A 24,324-nucleotide genomic window follows, 5' to 3' on the forward strand; every position below is an offset into this window, starting at 1 on the left:
AAAGGAATTATCTTGATCATGTAATTATTATAGTTGAAGAAATAACAGCTTATCAAAGTTAGAATTTTAAAAATTACAAATTTTAAAAGTCTACAGAGAAACTAAAGATTGCTGACATTTTCAGCTTAAAACAATTACTCACATCTCTGACTCCAACACAATTTTCAGTTTTTTCTGTAATGATTATAACAGTATATACAATTTCTTAATGATTATAACAGTATATACAATTTCTTAATGAAATAGGACTACTCCTGAAATAAATAAATTACCTGGAACAGTTTCCACAGTCTAATACACCACTGAATGATTTACTGTCGTTATCGAAGAAATACTGGGTTTGTTCAGTAATGCAGCTCTGCTTGGACAGGGAGGCCGTGAAGTCATCATCCTCCATCTCAACTTGGGTGGCGGGGGACGGTGTAAAAACAAAGAACACCATTAGGAGGGGTCTCTGTAGTCACTCCCCTCGAGTCTTCACTTCTCACAGAGCAAAATAAACGTATAAGACCAGGACCCCTCGACTGGCTTGTTTACTGCTGTGTAATATCGTGGCAGCCCGTAATAGATGCCTGATAAATATCAAGAGAATAAATGAATTCAAATACAAGATGGCTATGAGATCAGGCCCGTGTGACCTAGGTAATTTCTAAAACATTAGGAAAGGTTGGACAAAAAGTTTCTAGCTCTAAAATTATGAGATGGGTGACCTGTTTTCTCTTTCACACAAATATTCTCTGAATTTGTTGAACTTCAAGCACATCCCAAAAGAAAATTTTTATTGTTATGGCAATGACAAGGTCTGAGCATTTACATACCTGCCTCAAGGAGTCGTGGAAAGGTCAAACTCAAGAGAAACTGCTGTAGAATAGACCTGAATTTTTCAAATAAAAAAAAAATAAACATCTAGGGAAAAAATGTGTTTTTACATGTACCCATACACATAAATACTGTTTCCCTTTATCTTTTTGGGAAAGAAAGTCTTGGAGTGTTTTTATTTAAGTATTTTCAAAATTATATAACACATTGTAACCTTTTTGTAATGTGTAAAAGAAGTCATGAAATCAGAAGTGTTCAGATCTTGTTCAGGATCAAGTGGGACACAATGTGTGAAGAAACCTAACAGGCAATGTTATCAAGCAGAAGAGTTCACTCTAAGAGGGAGAATGTCTGTTTCAGCGCGTAGGTTTTCACATTCATTACGTCTCCTTATTTTAGTTTTTAAAACCATTTGTTTTTTGGGTTTCCCCCGCCCCCAACAAAGAAACAATGCTGTTTATACCATGGGTTTGAATTTGTTAACTATTTACTTTGTAATATAGAATATATTTGTAAATATGTAATGTAACTTTCATGAAACAAAATATACATATTAGAGAGATACAGCACATTTCAGTTTTACAGTAACTGACAACTGAGCCAAATTTCTAGAACTGAATTTAGTTTAAAAAAAAGTGGGGGTGGGAGGGGATATAGGATAAAGCCAAGTATTTCAGGGTCATGATGAAATTTTAAAAGCCTACTGAAATTAATATATAAAATCACATCAGAAAATACCATTTTTCAGAATAAAACAGAATTTTCTAAATCTTTTAAAAACTCTCAAAATTTTAAAATCTTTTTTGCTGCTTTAATGATATAGTCACTTAATTTTAGCTGGGCAAACCTCAACATCAAATGAATATTGTACATTAATCTACATGGAATAGGGCTAACAATACAGTGTGATGATACAAAAAAAAAGATTAGAAGGGAGAGAGGGAAGAGGGAGATCATGGATTCCAGACGTAACAGGAGGTTTAGTTACAACTAAACAATGAGAAATGTGATCTTCCAGACCTTCCACAGTGCCACAATTGACCATTTAAATGTCTTATTTTCATAGGTTGTAGGGTCTACAGGTGAGGGTTGAGGGAGGTTTGGAAGGTAGCATCAGTGAAAAGAAATAATTAGATCCATGTCGGCAACCTGATGCCCCTAAAACAATACTAGTCCTTGTATCAATAGTAAAGAGGTAGAAGGTTGCCATCATGCCATGAATTTGATGCATGTAGACATCCAACTGGGATATTAAAGACAAATTGTAACTTCTTACAGATCAATACACCTAAAAGAAATTAGTGTAATGTTTTTATAAATATTTAATACAAATGAAAAGAGTTTCAATAGATATGTAGAGGAAGGAAGACTCTAAAGAGGCTGAAGTTTACATCCGCATAACATTGTTTTCATATGAGAAACTGAATAATGGTAACTTTATAGTGTTCACTTAGGAAAAACTATAAATATTACCAATAGGTGATGTAAAGAATGAAAACAACTTAACTCCCTTAATAAAAATTTGAATATCCCCTAAATCCATATTTTCATCAGATGCTTTTTTATTTTACAACTTCTTTCTTTCATTACCAATAAAACTAAAATTTTGACTTACCAGGCAGCAGCAGTGGCCCACCAGCCAATTTGTAATATGTCTGCTACTGATGGCTATAAAATAAAATAATAAGGTCATTTCAGTAGTCTACTTGATACTGAGGACACTTGAGTACCCCTTGAGAATTGATTAGACCGTGGATATTACTGACCACATATGCTGAGCGATGTCCTGCTCCTTGTTTTGGTGCAGCACCGGGCTCACATACTGACTGATAATCATAAGATTTGTTAAAAGCATAAACTGATATATTAACCAGGTGTCTCATCAAGCTGGGATCAATCTCTCCAAAAAATCTTCCAATCTGGTGAAGAAAAAAATCATAAAGCAACGTGCACTTAAAATGTAAGCCAAAAATGAACACGGGAATCACCACTACAGTGAAAAGAAATAATACAAAGAAACTGAACTACAACTGAGGAGCTTAAAAACAAAAGCAAATGAGAAACGTGTATATGACACTGTGAACAAACTAAAATGAGAGTAAGTGTTCTCATTACTCAGTGGGGCTGTGTGATATTTTATTTGTGGAAAGAATGGACACACATTACTAAGCATTAAATCACAATCAAATGCTTCCCAGATGAATAAAACAGGGCCGGGGAATGGAGAGGTATAAGTGGAAGGGTACAAAGAAGCAGTTATGTAGAATGCATAAGCCTAGAGATTCAACATACAACAGAGGACTGTAGTTAATAATACTGTGTTGTCTACCAGAAATTTGATGAGAGTAGATTTTAAGTCTTCTTACCATACCGCAAAAAAGGTTAACAACCTGAGATGATGGATATGTTAATTGGCTTGACGCAGTAATCACTTAACTATGCAAATCAAAGCTTTTTTTTGTACACCTTAAACATATACAATAAAAAAAAGATCAAATGCCCCCCTGGGGAATGGAAAAGTGGCATAAATGAGAGAGCAGGCTGGCCTAGAAAACGAACTTGTAGGGGCTGTGATGAACTGGAACAAGTCCCATCTAAAGGGGCAATCATGAGTGAATCAGCTCCACCCCATAAATCCTGTCATCCAGAAAAAAAACAAACAAAGCCCAGGGTTGAGATATTTTTGCTTTGTTTTTTCAAAAGAAAGAAGCCAGGAATGCAGATTCAGAAGTGAAATTAGTTGGCATCTACTTCAAATTTGTTAAAAATAGCCTATGTGCTGCTCATTTGCAGGTTTGAGACTAGAAATCACATCAGTTTTAACAAGCTATATATTAAATTAGATACCATCAACTGACAAATGTTGAAGTGAAAGTTTTCTAAATATCAGAAAGATTAAAAGTTCATGTCATGCTAAAATCCTTAACTGTATGTTTTAATGATACCAGTACTAAAATGTAAAATCAAATAACATAAAAACTAGACTTAGCATGCATTTCTTAATGGTTTACATAACATTAAGCATTTTACAAATTATTGTATGACAGAAATAAAACAACTCATCGATTTCTAAAACACTGAAAGAGGTTTTGTAATGTTGATCCGGGAAACACACTTTGGAAAGCCTAATTCCCTCTTATTTGAGGTACATACCTGATTAGTATAATCATCATGATTTGCCATCAGAAGAAACCCACCATCATCCAGAATCACACAATCCATTACCTATCAAAATAAAGTGAACAGTTAACACATTTTTAGAAAGGTTAGGAGGCTGCATTGTCTTTACCCCATTATATACATGATTAGAGCAATAAAAATAGAAAATTTTAAATGCCTATCTTCTCTTGAACATATATGTTCATTAAATTCTGGTGAAATAAAGGCATGCATAGATTTATATCAAACCATCAGGCTTGATAATCCAACACCAACCATCCACTTGAGACTGTCAATTCAGTCTGAACAAATCAGAAGAGCAAATTAGAAATAATCTTTTTACCATTTCCGGGTCATCTAAATGATCCAGAAAACTGGATAGAGAAAATTATTTAATAATGAGTAACTGATTTAAACACATACTTAGGATTTTGACAAAAAGATATTTTAAAAAAATATCATTTTAGTTGTCCTGTTTCACAGACTTAAAACACATCAGTACTATAAGACTATTTATAATTATTTCATATTTTAGATTAAAAATATGTAGTTGGATAATTGGAGATTTAAAAGCAAAACGCAAAACAAAAAATGTCCATGGTTAATACTTACTTCACCCTGAAACACAGGATAAATTCCCACCTAGTTTAAATCATGTTTTAATGTATGAAAATCAATATAATAATTTGTATTGAATAAAAATCACAAATAAAAACATGGTTTTCAAAGTTGAGGATGTAATGCATTGCATTTTCCTAATGTGGAAGCAGTTTATTACTAAAATATTTGCTCTTAAAACAGCTACTGCATAGTCTATGTGAAATAGATAAGTTACAAAAATCATTAAAATTATTGGCTCATAATTTCACAGGAGTAGGAGTGATAAAGACGATATGAACCCCCTGCTTCCCTTGGAGATATACAGACACACAAAAGAGGACTGGAAGAAAATATTGTTTCATCATTGTTATTCAATTTTTAGAATTATTTATCTAGTATCATTCTTAGAGCATCTTCAACTTTTGAACAAAGTTCACATTTCCTTTTTCAATTTCTCAAACAGAAGTGAAAGTAATACAAGACACCTTAAAACTCAATCCATGTAACTATAACTTTATAATAAACTGTAATACTTCCAGGTTTAGTTAAAACATTTTTCCTGTAACTATATAATACAGTGTGAACAAATTTAGAGAAAGTGTGATAGGTGAGAGAAAACTGCATTGATAACCAATAGGGTTGCTTTGGTTAGAAACTTCCTATCCAGAAATAGAGCTAAAGATAAATATGTACAAAAGAATGTAACACAGTTGAGACCGAAGAGAACCATCATATTGACATGACCATTTTTTTACCTTCCAAGGATACATACATATTTTTAAAAATTCAAGCACTTTACATTCAAAATCAAAAGCATACAAATTCAAATGAATATATTATTTCACATTTCCATAGAATTTTTTAGCCTTTGATTAAAAAATTCCTGCATATTTTTTCATCACTATAGTCTTAGCAAGAGTAACACAAGGAAATATTGTACTCAAAAGTGATTTTAAATAGTTTTCTTACGTCACTGTTTCTTTTGCAGTCACAAACTGGACCAGCACACTGAAAGACAAAAATGCGATTATCACCTCACTTTTAAAAGTTGGATTTTAATTATATTATTACCATGTTATAATTAGAAATTCTGAAATAATTTATCCAGTAGAAAAATAAGATTAAACAGTCTAGTCTATAAGAAACAAAAGTTTTATCTTATTAGACAATGTCAATCAATATATAAACTAGCATTGCATGTTATAACCTTGAAATACTTCTATTACATATTGACTAATTTAAACAAAAAAAGCTTTGAAAAAATAGGAATTCAGAATTCTACTTCAGTGTAGTGGTATTGAGAATGTATTTGCCACTGTATAAGGACCTTATATTTTTTTCTATTGAATTTTGAAAACATTAAACATAGCATAAGAATTTTTTAAAAATATCTTACCGGATCTCTGATTGAGGTTTTGGTGAAATTCTCTATCCAGGAATTTACATCAATTTTAATTCCAACAACTGAAAAATTAATTTGAATTAATTCAAAGGTATAATTAGATGTAATACAACCTTTGCAATATGACAGTTATTTTGATAGCAAGTATCAGACTATAGTTTATTACAGAAGTTTTAGTTTTGTGTTCATTAAGAAATAATGCTAATAGCTCTTAAACTATTACATAAATTGTAACATATTCACAAAAGAGTGTATTCATTAGCCACAACCTGACCAATTAACTAATACAATAAGCTAAATAAAAAACAGTAGTGTCAGGAGAGCCTCATAAACTTGAGGTCATTCAAACGGTATATTTTAAGATGTTTCCCTAACCCCACCAGTGCTTGCAGTAGGTGCTTAATAAATCTTTGCTGAAAGAGTGAACAGATGAATGGATGAGTAGGTGGGTTAGTAGGAGAGTGGGTGAATAAATGAATGGCTGAGAGAATAACTGATTTAGTAAGTAATTGAGCAATTGAGTGAATGAAGGAATAGGTAAGTGAGTTAGTGAGTAAGTGATGGAGTGAATTCATGTAATAGATCCGCTGATGGGGTAAAGCTGTCCTCAGGAGCAGGAAGGCTCAAAATACTCTCCTTTAAAACTTCAAACACTGAATCATACAATCAAAAAAACTAATAGCTTTTACTTTATTGTATTCACTCACTCTAGCCCACTTCCGATCCTCATTAATGCTCACTTTTACTATGTTTGTTTACTTGCCTATTTTTCCAAAAAGTCATTTTTCTATATATTTTATAGCAAGTTTTTAACTGAGCCCTACCTAATTCACTTTAACAGACGCCTACTAGAATATAGTATAAATATGCCATATTTATCTTTTCCCTCAGGGCTGGAAACTTAACTTTTTTGTACAAATATGTAACTCCTTGGCCATATAACTTTGTACGTATTTTAAAGTATTAAGAGAGACTTCTGGAGGTGGGTTGCTAATCCAACATTAAAAATTTTGATTATTATACTAAATTGATTCCATCAATTTGTGTCAGAGTATAAACATACACACTGTTTTGAAAATTCCTCAAATCTATGTAGTATCAATTTGATTTTATCCCAACTTCAGAGGTAACTAGTCATATTTTATTTAATTTTTTTAAGTGTGCATGCCTTTATTTTGTTTGACACCTTTTGATGACCTTCTTGATAAACATTGCCAGTTTATAATATAAATGCCAAGTAACATTTAATTTTGATTGTGTTTTTGTATTTAATATTTATCCTTACCTGCAGGTTTAAGAAGTTTCCCTTGAATATATATTTCTACAGCTTTGCTTACCATAATGCCCGATTCATAGGCACCAGGTCCACTTTCTAAAAAAAAAATAAATAAATAAAACACCTATCAAGATATATTGAATAATAATATTGATTTTCCGTCATTAGATACAAATGGATAGTATTTTGCTTAAAAATTCTAGCATCTACAAACTATAAAATGTTTGTGCTCTCCTTCCTCTCTTCTTCCGTTGTATACACTAGGCTAACTGGTATATCCATGAATTGGTTTGTATTAATTGATTCGGGGACATTAATTAGCTTGGTTGCATCTGCTTTCACAACATAATGAATACATGCCAAATCTCTACTTCACAACATTTGTTAAAATATTAAGTAGTTCTGCTGAAGTGAAGTGGAAAGATTGATCCTGGATGCATAAAACTGACTTTGTCTTTTATAAGACGTATGTCACTGGGCAAAACTTTGAAATTCTCTGAACTTGTTTCCCCATTTAGGAAAATGAAGGTAAATACTACCTATGTGCAAAGATGTTCAGGGATTAAATTACAAGGTTTTTGGGAAATAAGTCAATAAAATATTTTAAAAGATAAGCTATTATTAATTGTATAATTATATTTTATAATACTGATAAAATGTAATTAATCAATGGAATTACTCTATTTAATTCCTTAAATGTTTTTCAATACATTTTCAGTTGTAATATGAGGGATTATCTACATGTGTTTCTATTTCTTATGCATGCCTAACAGATATGCTATCTCTAAATTACTGGAAGACTGTTTGCTGTGTATGCATTTTGCTTCTTCAACTAAATGATGTTTCTTTTCTATTTTCCTAATGCCTTGCAAATACTCTATTTTTAATGATGACTATTCTGAGTAGTTAACATAAAATGTAGTGATTTGGGGGGAGAGCAGATAGTAGCAGTAATTTATTATTTAAAAAATTGAGAAAAGCTGAATTCCAAAGCAATACTTACTGTTAAAGTAGGGAGCAGTGAAAACATAGTTATCATTATCTAGGCTCCTTTTATAGAAGCTGTCCTCATATGTCTCTGGGTTTTCTTGCCAATTTTCTCCAGCCCTAAGGAGGAAATGGCTCATCATTTGTATTCTTTAATCTACCTGATAACCTACTTTATCCTATGTGGACTTGCTGAGCTTTACAGATACGCCTACATCTCAGGTATGTCTAAAGAAGTTAGTGGTAATTGATAGCATAACTGATACTCATTACTGAGCAATGCATCAGCATAGCACTAAATTAAGAATCAGAAAAAGCTAACTCCTAGTTTTACTCCGTTGTTTACTAGTCAGGTAACAGGACAAGTAAGTTAATAGGTCAATTAATGTTAGTAAGCATTGGTGCCTACTCAGCCTACTTCATGGACTGTTACGAAGATAATAGAGATAAGATGCATCAAAGAAGAGTGAAAGATAATAAAGTGCTACATAAATATTGCTGATTGGTTATAATCATTGTGTTCATTTCACTGGTTTAGCTTGTATCTACAAAGAGAAAAATCTCTTTAAACGTCTCTTAAATGTTGTAATAAACATATTTGGCAAGCAAAAACATCATTGAAGAATTTTATAATGTCATTTTTCAGAGAAATAAAATCTTTTAATAATGTAAATACTGTAAACAATGGCTCCAATGTAATCTAATGGCAATCAGTTTATTTGAAGAATGGCTTCCTTAAGCAGTAATGTACAAATCCTTGGCGCAGTCTTTTGTAATGTACTTGTTTTTACAGATGTTATTTGAACTTACTCTTTGGGATAAACTCTGGTAATCCCACCATCAGTCACAACAAATCGTGCTTTCACTCCCTTGCTGAAACAGAAGACAAAACAAGGAAATGTTCTATTGAACATATTCTAAAAAACAAAGTTAGGTGTTGGTGATACAAAGAGAAGTAAGTTTAGGAAGTAAAGGAAATATATCAATAGATACACAACTATGTTTTAATAATTTAAATATCTATTAAATTTGTACTTGAAGGATGTTTAAGGAAGACATCTCATAGGAAATAATGACTGAGGTGCATTTTGAACATGGAGTATGAATTGACAGCAATGACACAGAAAGCAGGAAGGTATCACTTGTAGAGAGGAATGTATACATAAGGGAAAGCTACCAGAGATGGCTGGTGTTTGGTATAGAAAAAAAACGTAAGACAAAAGGAGAGAAACAGTAAGAAGTAAAGTTTCAAGTGCAAGTTCCTCAATGGTCAGCTAATGAATGATTTTGAATTCCATCTTAGAGAGCTTCACCTGTATCTTGAACTTAGAACTGCATTTTAGGAGTTAGATTCTGGCCAATATGAGTTGTATGGAGAATTGTCTAGAAGCTGCATGTGGAGGAATGGAGAACACTAAAGGCAGAAAAATCAGTTGCTGTGATTTCTTAGAAATGGGATCTTAGGGCCTTCATTATGAGGTAGAGAAGAAAACATTGCTAGGAGAAATATTTAGCATTTAGTGACTGAAAATGGGGTGGAGAAGAGATTTTAAATAAGAATCATACTCAGATTTTCTCAACTGGATGTATGGTAATGCTATTAGAAACCCAAATAAACACTGACTAGAAATCCTACTTTAGCACAAACAGAAACACACAATCATGCCCATTTAATTTGGTGTATTCACCCTGAAGTGTATGTGCATGAAAAGTTGAGTAATAGCAGACATTAGTACTGAAAAACACCCACAACTGAAAATGCAAGTTGTCAACAACTGTATAGTGATTTTCTTGAGAAATATTAAACATTATTAATGAACTGTAAATTTATGAGATTCATACCCAATTTCCACAGGAGAAACTAAATTGAAATGCAGAATACATATTTTTATTAATAAGAACAAATACTTACATATTTTTCTGCTTACTCCAGTAATTTTGGACAAGTTCATTTGTAAAGCCTGCATCAAGCAAGACTCTATTAATCAAATCCGCGTTACCTAACACAGAAAAAGATCATCAGTTACACTCACATTTCTAAAATTATGATCATAATGAAAAATATATTTTCTATTTCCAAAAGCAATTTAGAGTAGATATTTCTATGAATTTTAAAATATATTCCACATTCATTTTCTTTGTAATTTTAATATTGTTCATCTTGCCTCACAGTTTTTCAGGAAATGAATGGATTTAGTAGTAGAAAAATCAATTCTAAATGAGCCAAATTATTTTGTAAACTTTATCAAAATAAGAAATAAGCTATGTTAAGAAACAGGAAATAGTCCTTCTTTTGTGTTTTTGTTTATTTCTGTATGGTAGCATGGCGATTCCCAACCATCATAATTTTATGACAATTTAATGTATACACACATAAAATTTTATATATGTATATAAAATTTATATATATAGAAACAGAACTACCACTGAAATTATCAAGTAAAAACATTCAACAAAAAGTTACTGTCTACTTTCACTTTCATTTGTTATAAGAAAAGCTATTTTCATTCTTTTCTATCACAAATATCAAAACATAGGATAATCTTGGAGTAAATAAGACTATGAAAAATTCAGTGCCGCATATCGAGGAGCAAGGAATGGAATGAGCATCACAGAGCAGTACAATCCCAAGAATGTTTTTGAAATCTACTGGTATTGGTCAAAGAACCAATACCTAAGTAGATAATAGGTTGTCATTTCTAGAATAACTGAAGTGCATATTAGCCCAAGTTTAAAGATAATTGAGGAAACAGGTGATGAGGATCAAAGGCCAATTATTATGTATTCTTAAACAAAAACCTCTGCCTTCTTCCCATTCTCCTTGTTCCTCTAAACCCATTAAGCTCTGAAATACCCTAACAGGTACCCTCTGAAATTGCACATTTACGACAAAATTTGACTTTTTCAGATAAAGAATATATGTTCTTAACATCCTATTACTATACAACATGGTGGTGAGATAGGCTGGAAACATTTTTGTTGCTTTTAATTATTTTAAGTTAATATATCTTACACCTGGGATTAAAGGATCAATGTAATCCCTATTTTGGAGTACATTTTAATTCATTCTAGACACTCTTTTTTACTATATTGTTTTAGAAACTGAATCATTTAAAAAACAGTTCATTTGGAAAGTAAATGTTCTAATTGCCTCCAATCCCTTTAGGTAAAACAAAATAAATAGATACAGATATAAAAAAGAATGATTCCAATTTTCATGGTGTTCTGAAAAGTTATATGTTAGGAAAAACATTTCTGATAAACTCATTTTTGCAAGGAATATGAGAGTGTTTCATAATTTTGGTATCCAATTAAAGGAACATTCAACAATCTTATTACAGTTCTCTCTTGGAAATGCCTAGTACTCATTAATAGGAAATAAACAATGACATAAAATAACATTTCAAAGGCACTGGCTCAGTCTCAGTGAGCTTGCACTGAGTAGAAAGGTTTGGAATCATCATGTTAAGACATGATCAATGTAAACTCTGGCTCCCATGACAGGTTTTCAGAGTGGCTCACTGAAGCCGCTAACTAATCTGTGCTAAAGTGAAGGAGCTAGGAAGTTATTTCTTCTCATATGCAATAAATCGAAGTTAAGAGTCAGCTTTAAGAAAGCCTTTGCCTTTTTGATAACTGATAAAGTGCTTTGACCCTTCCTAATAGAAAGATAAATAATTGAAAAACAAAAAGAAGGGAGGAGGAGAAGGAAAAGGAGGGAGGGAGGGAGAAGAGAACAAAGAGACTCCTCTTTGAGAGAGAACCAAAAAAGTCAATTATGTGTACTTATTCTTTTTTCAAATTTTATTTATGAAGATAAATTTTGCCATGAATTTGGTTTTCCTCTTATTTCCCATTTGTACGGTATTTGTTTTGGTAGTGCTTTTATAATAAATATTTTTAGAAGAAAAAATGATTTAGATTTTTTAATGATTTAAAAGCCAAGAATCCATAATTTTCTATTAAGCTTAGAGTATGAATGATGCAAATTTACCTGAAAGACAAATATAATGGTTAAAAACTAATTACTAATTTTCTGTTGTCTATTTTAATTTGATTTACCTCATAAATGAAAAATTACAGAAGCATAATTTTTTAAGACATAAAGTTAACTTGTGATCAAAATAGAATGTCAGGAAGGAAGAAAATCATTAAGTGATATTTCTTTATACTTCGGTTTTTATTCTACCCATATTAAAACTCATTATATTATTTGAAGCATATAAATAAATTTATAAAAATGTACGTTTTCCTCTACCAGGCAAAATGCTATAAAAAAACCTTCAAAAGATCATTCAAAATTAAATTTCCTAAATTTGAGAGGAGCTAACATGAGCGTGCCATATTTACGTTTAACCATTTGAAAGAATATATTACCTTGTTTTGAAAATTTGATTTAACTAAATAATGAAATAACATTTCTTTAGTTTGCAAAATTAAGGATCAAATTGTTACATTTTACTATTAAAAAGTTGTAAAGTAAATAAACAACCAGCACAATATAAAGTAATATGATTATCGTATCCTATGATATACTATAAACCAATAGAACCACACTCAAGCAATCATTTTGAATTAATGCATACTTACATGATGGGTTGTTTGGAGTTTTTCTATCAATAAACTCGTTGAAATTTAAAAGAAATTCAGTGTTATTATCCGATATTTTCAGGTCATTGCAGTAATCTCTGAAAAAAAAACATTTTGAGATATTAGATATTAAAATCAAAACTTTACAGGGTAATTAAAGGTAGTGAAAACACTATTTTTTTTTTTTATTAGCCACAAGACTTTGCAAACTATTGAGCTTCTTGTTACTTCCATTTCCTCACTTCTATAATGGACCAATACTTTACCAGTAAGTGGTGATTATAGGCAATATGAATTAAACGTTTGGCCTTTGGACAGTAGGTGCTCAATAAGTTTTGGTGTAGTTATACTATTATCATTGTATATCTTAGATTTAGGAGTCTCATATAGCAATTAAAACAGAAATCTTGGGGCATCGGGGGCAAGGGGAGGGACAGCATTAGGACAAAAACCTAATGCATGCGGGGTTTAAAACCTAGATGACAAGTTGATAGGTGCAGCAAACCAACATGGCACGTGTATACCAATGCAACAAACCTGCACGTTCTGCACATGTATCCCTGAACTTAAAATAAAAAAAAAATTGCCTGGAGTTACACACATATACAAACACAACTGAGTGGACATAAAGCTAGTGAAATCTGAATAATATCAGTGGATTGTGTTTATGTCAGTTTCCTGGTTGTGATACTGTGTTAAACTTATACAAGATGTTGCCATTGGAGGAAACTGAGTAAAAGGTATATAGGTTCTCTCTGTATTATTTCTTGCAACTGCATGTGAATCTATGACTGTCTGAAAATAAAAATTTAGACAATAAAAAAGCCCAGAAATCTTAAAGTTCATTACATGTTAATATATTTTAATAAAATATTACCATTATTTTAAAAAATATTTTAAAAAGTGGCAATGTTTTACATATTTGCAAATTATCTTTAATTCCTGACAAGAGAAGACAAGCATGTCTCTGCAATCAATTGCAAGAGTTTGTTTTGGTCTATACAGAAAATTTGTCCTCACAGAGACGAGAGGCTTGTTTTTCTTCAGATATTGCGGCTGTTCTGTTTTTGATAACATACTGAAACTTGTTTATTTGTAATTCATTGATGGGTAGTTGTAACATGGAATCTGAAACAATATTAATAGTTTTTTTGCCTTCTGTTACATTAAAATTCCATATTCTTTCTTATACTTTAAATGAATCTTTTAAGCATCCGTGATTTTGTAAAATCATAAACTGGTTATTTAGAAAATGAGTTGTGTACAACTTCCAAATAATGACACATTATACAATATTGAAAATTTACACTCATTATTATCTTCAACTAAGTAAGTATTGGGAATGAATCATGTATACAACTTTCCCAAAATTCTAATTTTCGTTGGAAAGCTCAGTTTCTGTCATTGGCAGCAAATACTCTTAGTTGTTTTCTTCGAAGTCAAAAGCTCATCTGATTTATTTTTGAGAAACTATCTGCTGGCTATCCAAATCTGAATAACCATAGTTCTGTAATTTGTTCTTTCAAGTAATGTTACATTAAAAAAAAAAAAGCAGAAAGCACCTTGTTCACTTCCTAACACAATCATACAGGTCCTTTATTTTTTTGAGACATCCAAGTTACTCTGGGATGCAGTAGCACTTCTAGTTTTATCACATATAATATTAAAAGACATGCACTCAAGGGGAAAACTTCAATAAAATTTATAATTCTGAAATCAGGTAGCGTGATGTCTCTAGCTTTGTTCTTTTTGCTTAGGATTGTCTTGGCTATATGGGCTCTTTTTTGGTTCCATATGAAATTTAGTTTTTTCTAATTCTGTGAAGAAAGTCAATGGTAGCTTGATGGGTATAGCATTGAATCTATAAATTACTTTGGGCAGTATGGCCATTTTCATGATATTGATCTTCCTATCCATGAGCATGGAATGTTTTTCCATTTGTTTTTGTCTTCTCTTACTTCTTTGAGCAGTGGTTTGTAGTTCTCCCTGAAGAGGTCCTTCACACACATCCCTTTTAAGTTGTATTCCTAGGTATTTTATTCTGTTTGTAGCAATTGTGAATGGGAGTTCACTCATGATTTGGCTGTTTGTCTATTATTGGTGTATAGGATTGCTTGTGGCTGGGCACAGTGGCTCGCGCCCATAATCCCAGCACTTTGGGAGGCTGAGGCAGGCAGATCACGAGGTCAAGAGTTTCAGGCCAGCCTGGCCAAGATAGTGAAACCTCGTCTCTACTAAAAATACAAAAAATTAGCCAGGCATGGTGGTGGGCACCTGTAATCCCAGCTACTTGGGAGGCTGAGGCAGGTGAATCGCTTGAACCCAGAAGGTGGAGGTTGCAGCGAGCAGAGATCATGCCATTACACTCCAGCCTGAGAAACAAAAGCGAGACTGTATCTCAAAAAATAAAAAAAAAGGAATGCTTGTGATTTTTGCACATTGATTTTTTATCCTGAGACTTTGCTGAAGTTGCTTATCAGCTTAAGGAGATTTTGGGAAGAGACAATGGGGTTTTCTAAATATACAATCATGTCATCTGCAAACAGAGACAATTTGACTTCCTCTCTTCCTATTTGAATACCCTTTATTTCTTTCTCTTGCCTGATTGCCCTGGCCAGAACTTACAATACTATGCTGAATAGGAGTGGTGAGAGAGTGCATCCTTGTCTTGTGCCTTTTTCAAAGGGAATGCTTCCAGCTTTTGCCCATTCAGTATGATATTGGCTGTGGGTTTGTCACAAATATCTCTTATTATTTTGAGATACGTTCCATCAATACCTAGTTTATTATGAGTTTTTAGCATGAAGGGGTGCTGAATTTCGTCGAAGGCCTTTTCTGCATCAATTGAGGTAATCATGTGGTTTTTGTCATTGGTTCTATTTATCTGATGGATTACAAGGCTACAGTAACCAAAACAGCATGGTACTGGTACAAAAACATATAAACCACTGGAACAGAACAGAGGTCTCAGAAATAACGCCACACATCTACAACCATCTGATTTTTGACAAACCTGACAAAAACAAGCAATAGGGAAAAGATTCCCTATTTAATAAATGGTGTTGGGAAAACTGGCTAGCCACATGCAGAAAACAGAAGCTGGACCCCTTGCCTACACCTTATACAAAAATTAACTCAAGTGGATTAAAGACTTAAATGTAATACCTAAAACCATAAAAACCCTAGAAGAAAATCCAGGCAATACCATTCAGGGCATAGGCATGGGCAAAGCCTTCATAACTAAAACACCAAAAGCAATGGCAACAAAAGCCAAAATTGACAAATGGTATCTAATTAAACTAAAGAGTTTCTGCACAGCAAAAGAAACTATCATCAGAGTGAACAGGCAACCTACAGAATGGGAGAAAATTTTTGCAATCTATCCATCTGACAAAAGGCTAATATCCAGAATCTACAAAGAACTTAAATTTCCAAGAAAAAAACAAACAACTCTATCAAAAAGTGGGCAAAGGATATGAACAGACAGTTCTCAAAATAAGACATTTATGCGGCCAACAAACATATGAAAAAAAGCTCATCACCACTGGTCATTACAGAAATGCAAATCAAAACCACAATGAGATAACATCTCATGCCAGTTAGAATGGCGATCATTGAAAAGTCAGGAAACAATAGATGCTGGAGAGGATGTGGTGGAATAGGAATGCTTTTACACTGTTGGTGGGAGTGTAAATTGGTTCAACCATTGTGGAAGACAGTGTGGCGATTCCTCAAGGATCTAGAACCAGAAATGCCATTTGACCCAGCAATCCCATTACTGGGTATATACCCAAAGGATTATAAATCATTCTATAAAGACACATGCACATGTATGTTTATTGCAGCACGGTTCAGAACAGCAAAGACTTGGAACCAACCCAAATGCTGATCAATGATATAGACTGGATAAAGAAAATATAACACAAATGCCCCATGGAATACTATGCAGCCATAATAAGTTCATGTCCTTTGCAGGGACATGGATGAAGCTGGAAGCCATCATTCTCAGCAAACTAACACAGGAACAGAAAAACAAACACCGCATGTTCTCACTCATAAGTGGGAGTCGAACAATAAGAACACATGGACACCAGGGAGGGGAACATCACACACTGGGGCCTGTTGGGGGGCAAGGGGAGGGAGAGCATCAGGACAAATTTCTAATTCATGTGGGGCTTAAAACCTAGATGATGTGTTGATAGGTGCAGAAACCACTACAGTACATGTATAACTATGTAACAAACCTGTACGTCATGCACATGTATCCCAGAAGTTAAAGTAAATTTTTTTTAAAAAGTGTATATATATATATATATACACACACACACACACTGTTCAAAACAGCACATATATATATATATATATATTTATTTATTTATTTATAATCAAGCCCATAAAGGGCTTAACATATGTTAATTGAAGTGGACATTCATTGGCCTGTCCCACAAGCCAAATACTCTCCCTTCTCAAGTACTTTCTCCTTCCCTAAACACGTAAGTAAATTTCGATCTTCTAGTCAGCTGTATTGATATCATTCAGCTATAAAAAAAGTACTGATACGTGCAACAACATGGATGAACCTTGAAAACATCATGCTACGTGACATAAGGCAGATACAAATGGTCACGTATTGTATTGTTCCATTTATACGACGTGTCTAGAACAAGCACATGGCCATAAGAGACAGAAAATAGATTAGTGGTTGTTTGGGTCTGGGGAGGGTTGGGGAAGGATGGGTAGGTAACATTTAAGGTTACAGATTTTCTCTTTATGATGATGAAAATGTTCTAAAATTAACTCTAGTGATAGTTGTACATATATGTAAATATATTTTAAAACTTTGAATTGTAAAAAAAAATATGAAATGTGACACTGACTACAGAAATGGTTCATACACTAATACCTGCTGGATTAAACAAAATCCACTGCCTATGAATTAGGAATTAGAATTGAGAGATATATCTATCTTTCTCTATGTATCTGGATTCTACCCTAGTTTCCACCTTGTCTTATAGTGAAGCTGAGAAAGCCAACATGCATAATCTGCTACTTAATAACTGGGAGAGACAAGGGAAGAAACTGTAGACAACAACACAGACCTCAGATGGAGAGTCTTGCCAACATAGCAGGCCTAATTTCAATCTCTTCCTAAATTGTTTGCTATGTTAATATTCTGCGGGACCCTGTTTTTGTTGTTTTTGTTTTTTCTAGCTAATGTTCTCCTTAATACTGAGAAAATTCTTTCTAGTTAAAGTGGGTTAAAGTTGTTCTCAGTAATTCAAAGTAACTTGAAATTAATTAAAGTGACTTGTGTCCAAAAACTACTAATAAGATTGCAAGTATTATTAGTGATACAATTTTTAAGAATATTCTTTATATATTTACAGATTCTCCAGTCACCAAGTATTTATTCAGCACCTACTGTGTGCCAGCAATGGATTCACTATTGGGTATTGAATGTTAAGTCAAATAGACACAGTCATGGTCTGTTGAGGAAAGTAAATAAAATGTGGCCAGTGCTCCCCAAGAGAAATAGAGAATTCTATGAAGCAGTCAGGAAGGATGCGTATACCAGTGAAGAAAGGAAAGAAATCCCCACATTGAGGAATTTTTAAGTTGGGATTTCGGAGGGAGCGGGATGCATATGTATGTATGTGTGTGTAGTCCAAAAGGGAAAAGAGAATTAATGGAAAAAAGAAGGTAAAACTAAAACCAAGCAAAAAAAAAAAAAAAAAAAAAAAAAAAAGAAAGTGCATTTAGGAACTGAAAGACGTTAGTATGGATGAAATTTAGAGTACGGGTAGGGAAACTTTCCCTGACAGGGCCATGTAGCAAGTGATTTAGGCTTTTGTGGCCCATAAATTCTATGACACGACTACTCAACCCTGTCTTTGTAGAAAAAGCAGCCAAAGACATTCCAGAAACAAATAAGCATCACTGTGCTCCAACAAAAATTTATGTTTAAAATTGATAGCTGATCTACAGGATGTAGTTTGATGGTCCATAGTTTAGAGTGTGGGGGACCACACTGGTACACCAGGACTTGGTGGAAGAGCATTTGAAAGCTATAATATAAAGCACAGATAATCATAAAGACAATATACAATCACTGGCTCGTATTTAGCAGATGAGAAATATGATTTTTTTCACATTTTAGAAACTCTCTGGTTACAGAACAGAGACAGCATTAAGAAATACAGGGTAAATATGAAAGTAGGGAGATCAAGTAAGAGGCAAATGTAGTAGTTTAGGTGAGAGAAGGCAGTGACCTGGATTAGGGCAGAGGCAGCTGAGATTGACAGATACACTTGATACTCATACGACAGAACTGGCAAGACTGGTGATTGATTAGAAGTGAGATACAAGAGAAAGGAAGCAGAGAAGGACAACTAACAGGTTTCAAGATTGCTCGTTTGGGAGGATGGCATTTTCTCCTCTGAGGCAACATAGGTAGAACTTTCCAAAGGAAACAATTATTTATAAGATGCTAAATCTGAAGCACATTGAAGAGATACTCTTGTCTGGTTTCCATGAGATGTGTCTCATATTGAAATATGTAAAGTCTGGAAATAGATATAATATAGGATTAAATAATATAATGCAATATCAATGAAACACATATGTCTTTGTCTCTAGATATTTATGGCCATCATATAGATTTGGGAATTATGAACCTAACCTGTAGGCAGAGAACACATGGGTGGCTTGTGGTCTGAATGCAGTCTCAGGTAAAAAGACAGCCTAGGCTAGCATCCTTTGCAGCCTTCTTATATGAGTGATCAGCAGAAGAAATGAAACTCATGAAAGAGACAGTGAATATGCAGCCAGAGAGGGAGTAAGAAAAACAGAATAGTGTGTCATCAAGCAAGAGAAAGCACACTGTCAAAGGACAGCGTGATCAACAGCGTCACACACTAAAGGAAATTCAAGCAAGAGAAGCTTCTCAAGGATACGGGCATTCAAAAAGCCAAGAATAGGCTTTGTTAACAGAGATTTTTCAAAAAACCCATATTCCCTACGTTAAAGTAGAAACAATTCAGAAATATCCTTTTGCAAGAATTAAAGGGTAACTCAGAACAATTTATATGCATCTTTGAGTTTTTGGAATAATTTAAGAAAAGTGAAAAATTAACAATCCAAGCTTCTATGTAAATTGTTCCCAATAATTTGGCCTAGATTAATAGGAATTATATTTGAATATTATATGTGTCTGTCATGGAATAGGAGTCAAAAACTGAGGAAAGAAAGAAGAATAAAGAACACCCTGGGACTACTGAATAGTTTCAAATAATTACAAGAAAACTGAGATGGAGAAAAAGATGTACATGCGTGATGAAGGGAGATTATATGAGAGATAAATAAAATTGGGTAGAAAGAAATGAGGTGCATCTAAAAAGCTATGTAAAGCAATGCCACTGTAAACATGTTCTCCCAGAAAGTTGAATTAGACCATTAAAAAAATCCATTATTATGTTCATTCTACCCCTACGTGTATAGATACACATAAATATTGGTACATATATGTGTATATATGTGTACATATGTGTATATACATATTCACAGGTAAAAATACACAATTTTCTATTACTGTTGGAAGCACTGTTTGTTCTACAAGAGCAAAGCCTATGTCCATCTTATTCCCATTGTGTCCCAGAGTCTACATTGCTTAGCACATAGTAATTGCTTTTTTTTTTGAGATGGAGTCTCACTCTGTCATGAGGCAAGAGTGCAGTGGCATGATCTCAGCTCCCTGCAACCTCCGCCTCCTGGGTTCAAGTGATTCTCCTGCCTCAGCCTCCCAAGTAGCTGGGACTACAGGTGTGTGCCACCATGCCCAGCAAATTTTTGTATTTTCAATGGAGACGGGGTTTCACCATGTTGGCCAGATGGTCTTGATCTTTTGACCTTGTGATCCACCAGCTTCGGCCTCTCGTATTTGAATGAGTAAAGAAATGAATAAATAAAGATTTTGTTTCAGTTTTAAAGTAATTATTTCCTTTGATTCCATAATGTGATATGGAACTAACCCAGAGCAGTCTTGACTCAATTCTGAACTACTGTTGAAGGCCTAGCTACTGATAGAAGATGTATCAAAAATACAACAAAACCAACCTTGGTGCTATGAATGTATAGCCAGATTCTTCAAAATTATCTGGCTTCAGGGTTTCCGAATCTGCAAAGATAATGTTACAGGATTAGATAGGTAATTCAGAGTATATATCCAGAGATTCTATAACAATAAGAAGGCATGAGAAAGATTACCTAATAAGAAAAATTGAAAATAGAGTACTTACATCCTAAAATTGAAACATATCAATGAATATAAATGTCCTCAATGCTTCCCAAAATAATAAAATTATAACATGGATTAACTTCATAACATGGATCCCCACAGTTATTTCAAAGAAAATGCTATGTCTATAATTTTCTGATCTAACCCTACTATAACCGAATATCTTTTAAAAAGTGATTGATATGAATGTTATACCAGAGGTATTTTAAAGACCAATTATTTATATAAAGTTTACCAATATTATGATCCAGAAAATGATGTTAAAAAACTCATTAATGCCTTTAGTGAGTTAATAACATTCCTCATATTAGGTATGAATTAGTAAGTGGAAGGATACAAAACAAAGCTTCTTAAGTCCAAGAAAAAAACTTGAATGTGAACCAGCTTGCATATGAAAACACAGCATATTCTTTCTACCATTTTTTTGCTGCTAAGTTTTGAGTGATCATGAAGGAAAATTTAGCAAATGAGAAGCACAGAGGATAATATCCAATAGGAAGGAAAATATCAGTGGAAATGTCAAGTGTACTAAACAGAAAGAAGTTGAGCAACAAGAAAATACTTGCCCTTCATTTTGCCCTTTTTTGCTGTGAAAATCCATCAGAAAGAGAAAGCAGGGAAACAAAAAAAAAAGAGGGTAAAGCAAAGGGGGTCATAAACAATATTTTATTCAATGACTTTCTTGAATAAAAATATTGTGCATAGATCAAAGGTTCATTTATGTACAGCTGTAGTCTGAGGAAAAAAAAGACATATTTTGAAGACTGGATAGTATGTCCTATCAATTATAACTAGATTACCCTCTCTGTACTGTGGTTATTTCAAGGGTCTGTTTTGCAAAGTGATTAATGCAGGTGTAATACCAATGACGTCAGGCTATAAACATAAGCATTTACTAATCAAAGACTCACGAGTTATCCCCTCATTTATCAATTGAAGAACTAGCTCATGCAGAATTGCTGGTTGTGAAAAGACCATCATATCTATCTATCAAGTGAAAGTGGAAATATAAATGTACTATGTATAATGCACAGTGAACACCAGGCCTGATGCGGGCAAAAAAGAACTGACAGAGAAATGAAAGAAACTGTAGCTTACTTTAAGATCAGATGTAAAATATATACGTATATTTTTGGTATTCTTTTGTATTTTACTTCATCCTCACAGAAAAATTTAAGGTTGTTAGCAATAATCGGCAGTGTGCAAAGGATATGATGGTCATTTTACTTTACAAAATCTAGTCACCCAAAACAAAATAAACAATAACTTGAAGTATGCACTAGTATTAATTACTCTACATTCCAAATGAGGCTTAAAAAAATTAATCCATTTGCATTACTGAGACATTAATTTGGATTACGAAAAGAAAGTTAATTGCCAAACCAAAGCCAAAGACCAGTGCAATTTAATTTATTCAAAGTAGAAGAAGATGTGAAGCACAATATTATTCTGGCCAAATGCAAAATAAATAAATAAATAACCAGAAACAAATAAAAGGAAAGAAAAGGAAAAGCTTTACTAGCACAGTGCCATGAGAGTAGAGACTATGTTGATAAGTAGCATGTGAAACATTTTGCTCCAGCTAGCAGACCCTTAAAACGACAGCAACAGGACACAGCACTGCAATGATTCTATGAGCACATAGCAAGGCAGGGAAGGGTGGTGGGGACTGCCAGTGAGACTGGAGTACCTGCTCATATTCTATCCATGTAGAATATTTCTTGTTCCTTGCATGTTTGGAATGGGTTAGAATCATTGCTGTAGATTTGGTAATAACACCTACTAAAATATTTCATAAGCCTTGGGTATTCCAAAATCTAGACGTATTTAAACATCTGATACTAGGAGATAACAAATGGACCCTGAAGTCACTTTCACAGTACTTACATCTGGCCTGAGTTATTGTCTCTTCTAGTTTGGCTTTTATATAGTAAAAACTGTAGGTTGGTAATACCAAGGCCAAACTGCAATAGAAACAAGAGAAGCATAAACACAAACAAACAAAAATGAAACATAACTTAAAAAAAAGACACATCAAGTTCATGGGAAAATCGAAAGATCTTCCTCATGGGAAGGAAAAGACATATTACTTTGACAAGAAAATGCATTCAGCAAATACAGTACTTAATTTCAGTCTTGCCATCCAGAGTCATCTAGCTCTCTACATTGTAGGGAATCAGAAGAGACAAGTGGAAAATAAGTTCCTGAATGAACCCATAAATTAGCCAAGGAAGGAGTGTCATGGCCCCCTACTATGTTTCCAGAAAATTATATTAAATTACTTTGAATTTTAACAAAAAATTGAAGAACATTAGGGGTATGTTTAAACAAGGTAAATACATAATACCATTTGGACACACTTCCTTAACGTATTATATATAATGTTAAAGTGCTTTGTATAAAATGGACACTATTAAAATACAAATGGAAGAGTTACTATTATCATTACTTTTTTTTTTTTTTTTTTTTTGGAGACAAGGTCTCACTCTATCCCCCAGGCTGGAGTGCAGTGGTTTCGATCATGGCTCATCACAGCCTAAATCCCCTGGGCTCAATCGATCCTCCCACCTCAGCCCCCGAAGTAGCTGGGACCATAGGCACATGCCACCACGCCCAGCTAATGTTTGTATTTTAGTAGAGACAGGGTTTACACTATGTTGCCCAGGCAGTCTGCCTGCCTCAGACTCCCAAAGTGCTGGTGTTACAGGCATGAGCCTCCACGCCTGGCCATTATCATTACTATTGAACAATGCATAAAGTCATCTAAAATATATTCTTTTGAGGGATTAAATAACCACTATTTTAAAACTCTAATCCTTGGGCAAGTTCTCTAGTACTAGTCTACTCATAGGCAAATTCAGATTCCTTTACTGCACTAACAGAAATTGTTTGCTAAGCTCATTAGTTTATACCCAATAGTAAAACTAAGTCATAGTATTTATTTCAAGTTTATTTACTGTGATTATTCCACATTATTTGGAAGATTGTTATTAGATGTAATAGGAAATGTGTCTTGAGTTTTGTAGTTAACAAGAGCCACGGCGCTACTCTAGTCTTACGGTAGATGTCCAAAGCAGAGGAGGGTTCCAGTGAAAATCTTAGGCCAAATTCAGAATGTTTTAGACACAAAAAATGTCAGACAAGCTGGCCATCAAAACTTGCCTTAATGACTGCCCAAAATAAAAAGCTGTTAGGCAG

General features: G+C 33.5%; 1 protein-coding gene across 16 annotated transcripts in view; it reads right to left on the minus strand.

The window, feature by feature from the left end:
• The window catches only part of CACNA2D1 (calcium voltage-gated channel auxiliary subunit alpha2delta 1), a 497,513-nt gene that overhangs the window by 15,178 nt on the left and 458,011 nt on the right, over positions 1 to 24,324 (minus strand). For 8 of the 16 annotated variants that reach the window (XM_005250572.4, XM_011516571.4, XM_006716118.4 and 5 more), the window contains 15 exons: positions 23,014 to 23,090; positions 21,693 to 21,713; positions 20,946 to 21,006; positions 12,834 to 12,931; positions 10,156 to 10,243; positions 9,054 to 9,116; positions 8,260 to 8,363; positions 7,266 to 7,352; positions 5,975 to 6,042; positions 5,548 to 5,586; positions 3,973 to 4,044; positions 2,586 to 2,738; positions 2,435 to 2,487; positions 819 to 874; positions 273 to 402 (listed from right to left, as the gene is read on the minus strand). In XM_005250572.4, the coding sequence (XP_005250629.1) occupies positions 273 to 402; positions 819 to 874; positions 2,435 to 2,487; positions 2,586 to 2,738; positions 3,973 to 4,044; positions 5,548 to 5,586; positions 5,975 to 6,042; positions 7,266 to 7,352; positions 8,260 to 8,363; positions 9,054 to 9,116; positions 10,156 to 10,243; positions 12,834 to 12,931; positions 20,946 to 21,006; positions 21,693 to 21,713; positions 23,014 to 23,090 (1,170 nt within the window). Of the gene's footprint in view, positions 1 to 272; positions 403 to 818; positions 875 to 2,434; positions 2,488 to 2,585; positions 2,739 to 3,972; positions 4,045 to 5,543; positions 5,587 to 5,974; positions 6,043 to 7,265; positions 7,353 to 8,259; positions 8,364 to 9,053; positions 9,117 to 10,155; positions 10,244 to 12,833; positions 12,932 to 20,945; positions 21,007 to 21,692; positions 21,714 to 23,013; positions 23,091 to 24,324 lie in introns of those variants that run through there. The other 8 variants (XM_005250574.4, XM_005250573.4, XM_011516572.4 and 5 more) reach the window with 2 other exon arrangements.

Source organism: Homo sapiens, chromosome 7, assembly GCF_000001405.40.
Source record: "Homo sapiens chromosome 7, GRCh38.p14 Primary Assembly".
Taxonomy (NCBI): domain Eukaryota; kingdom Metazoa; phylum Chordata; class Mammalia; order Primates; family Hominidae; genus Homo; species Homo sapiens.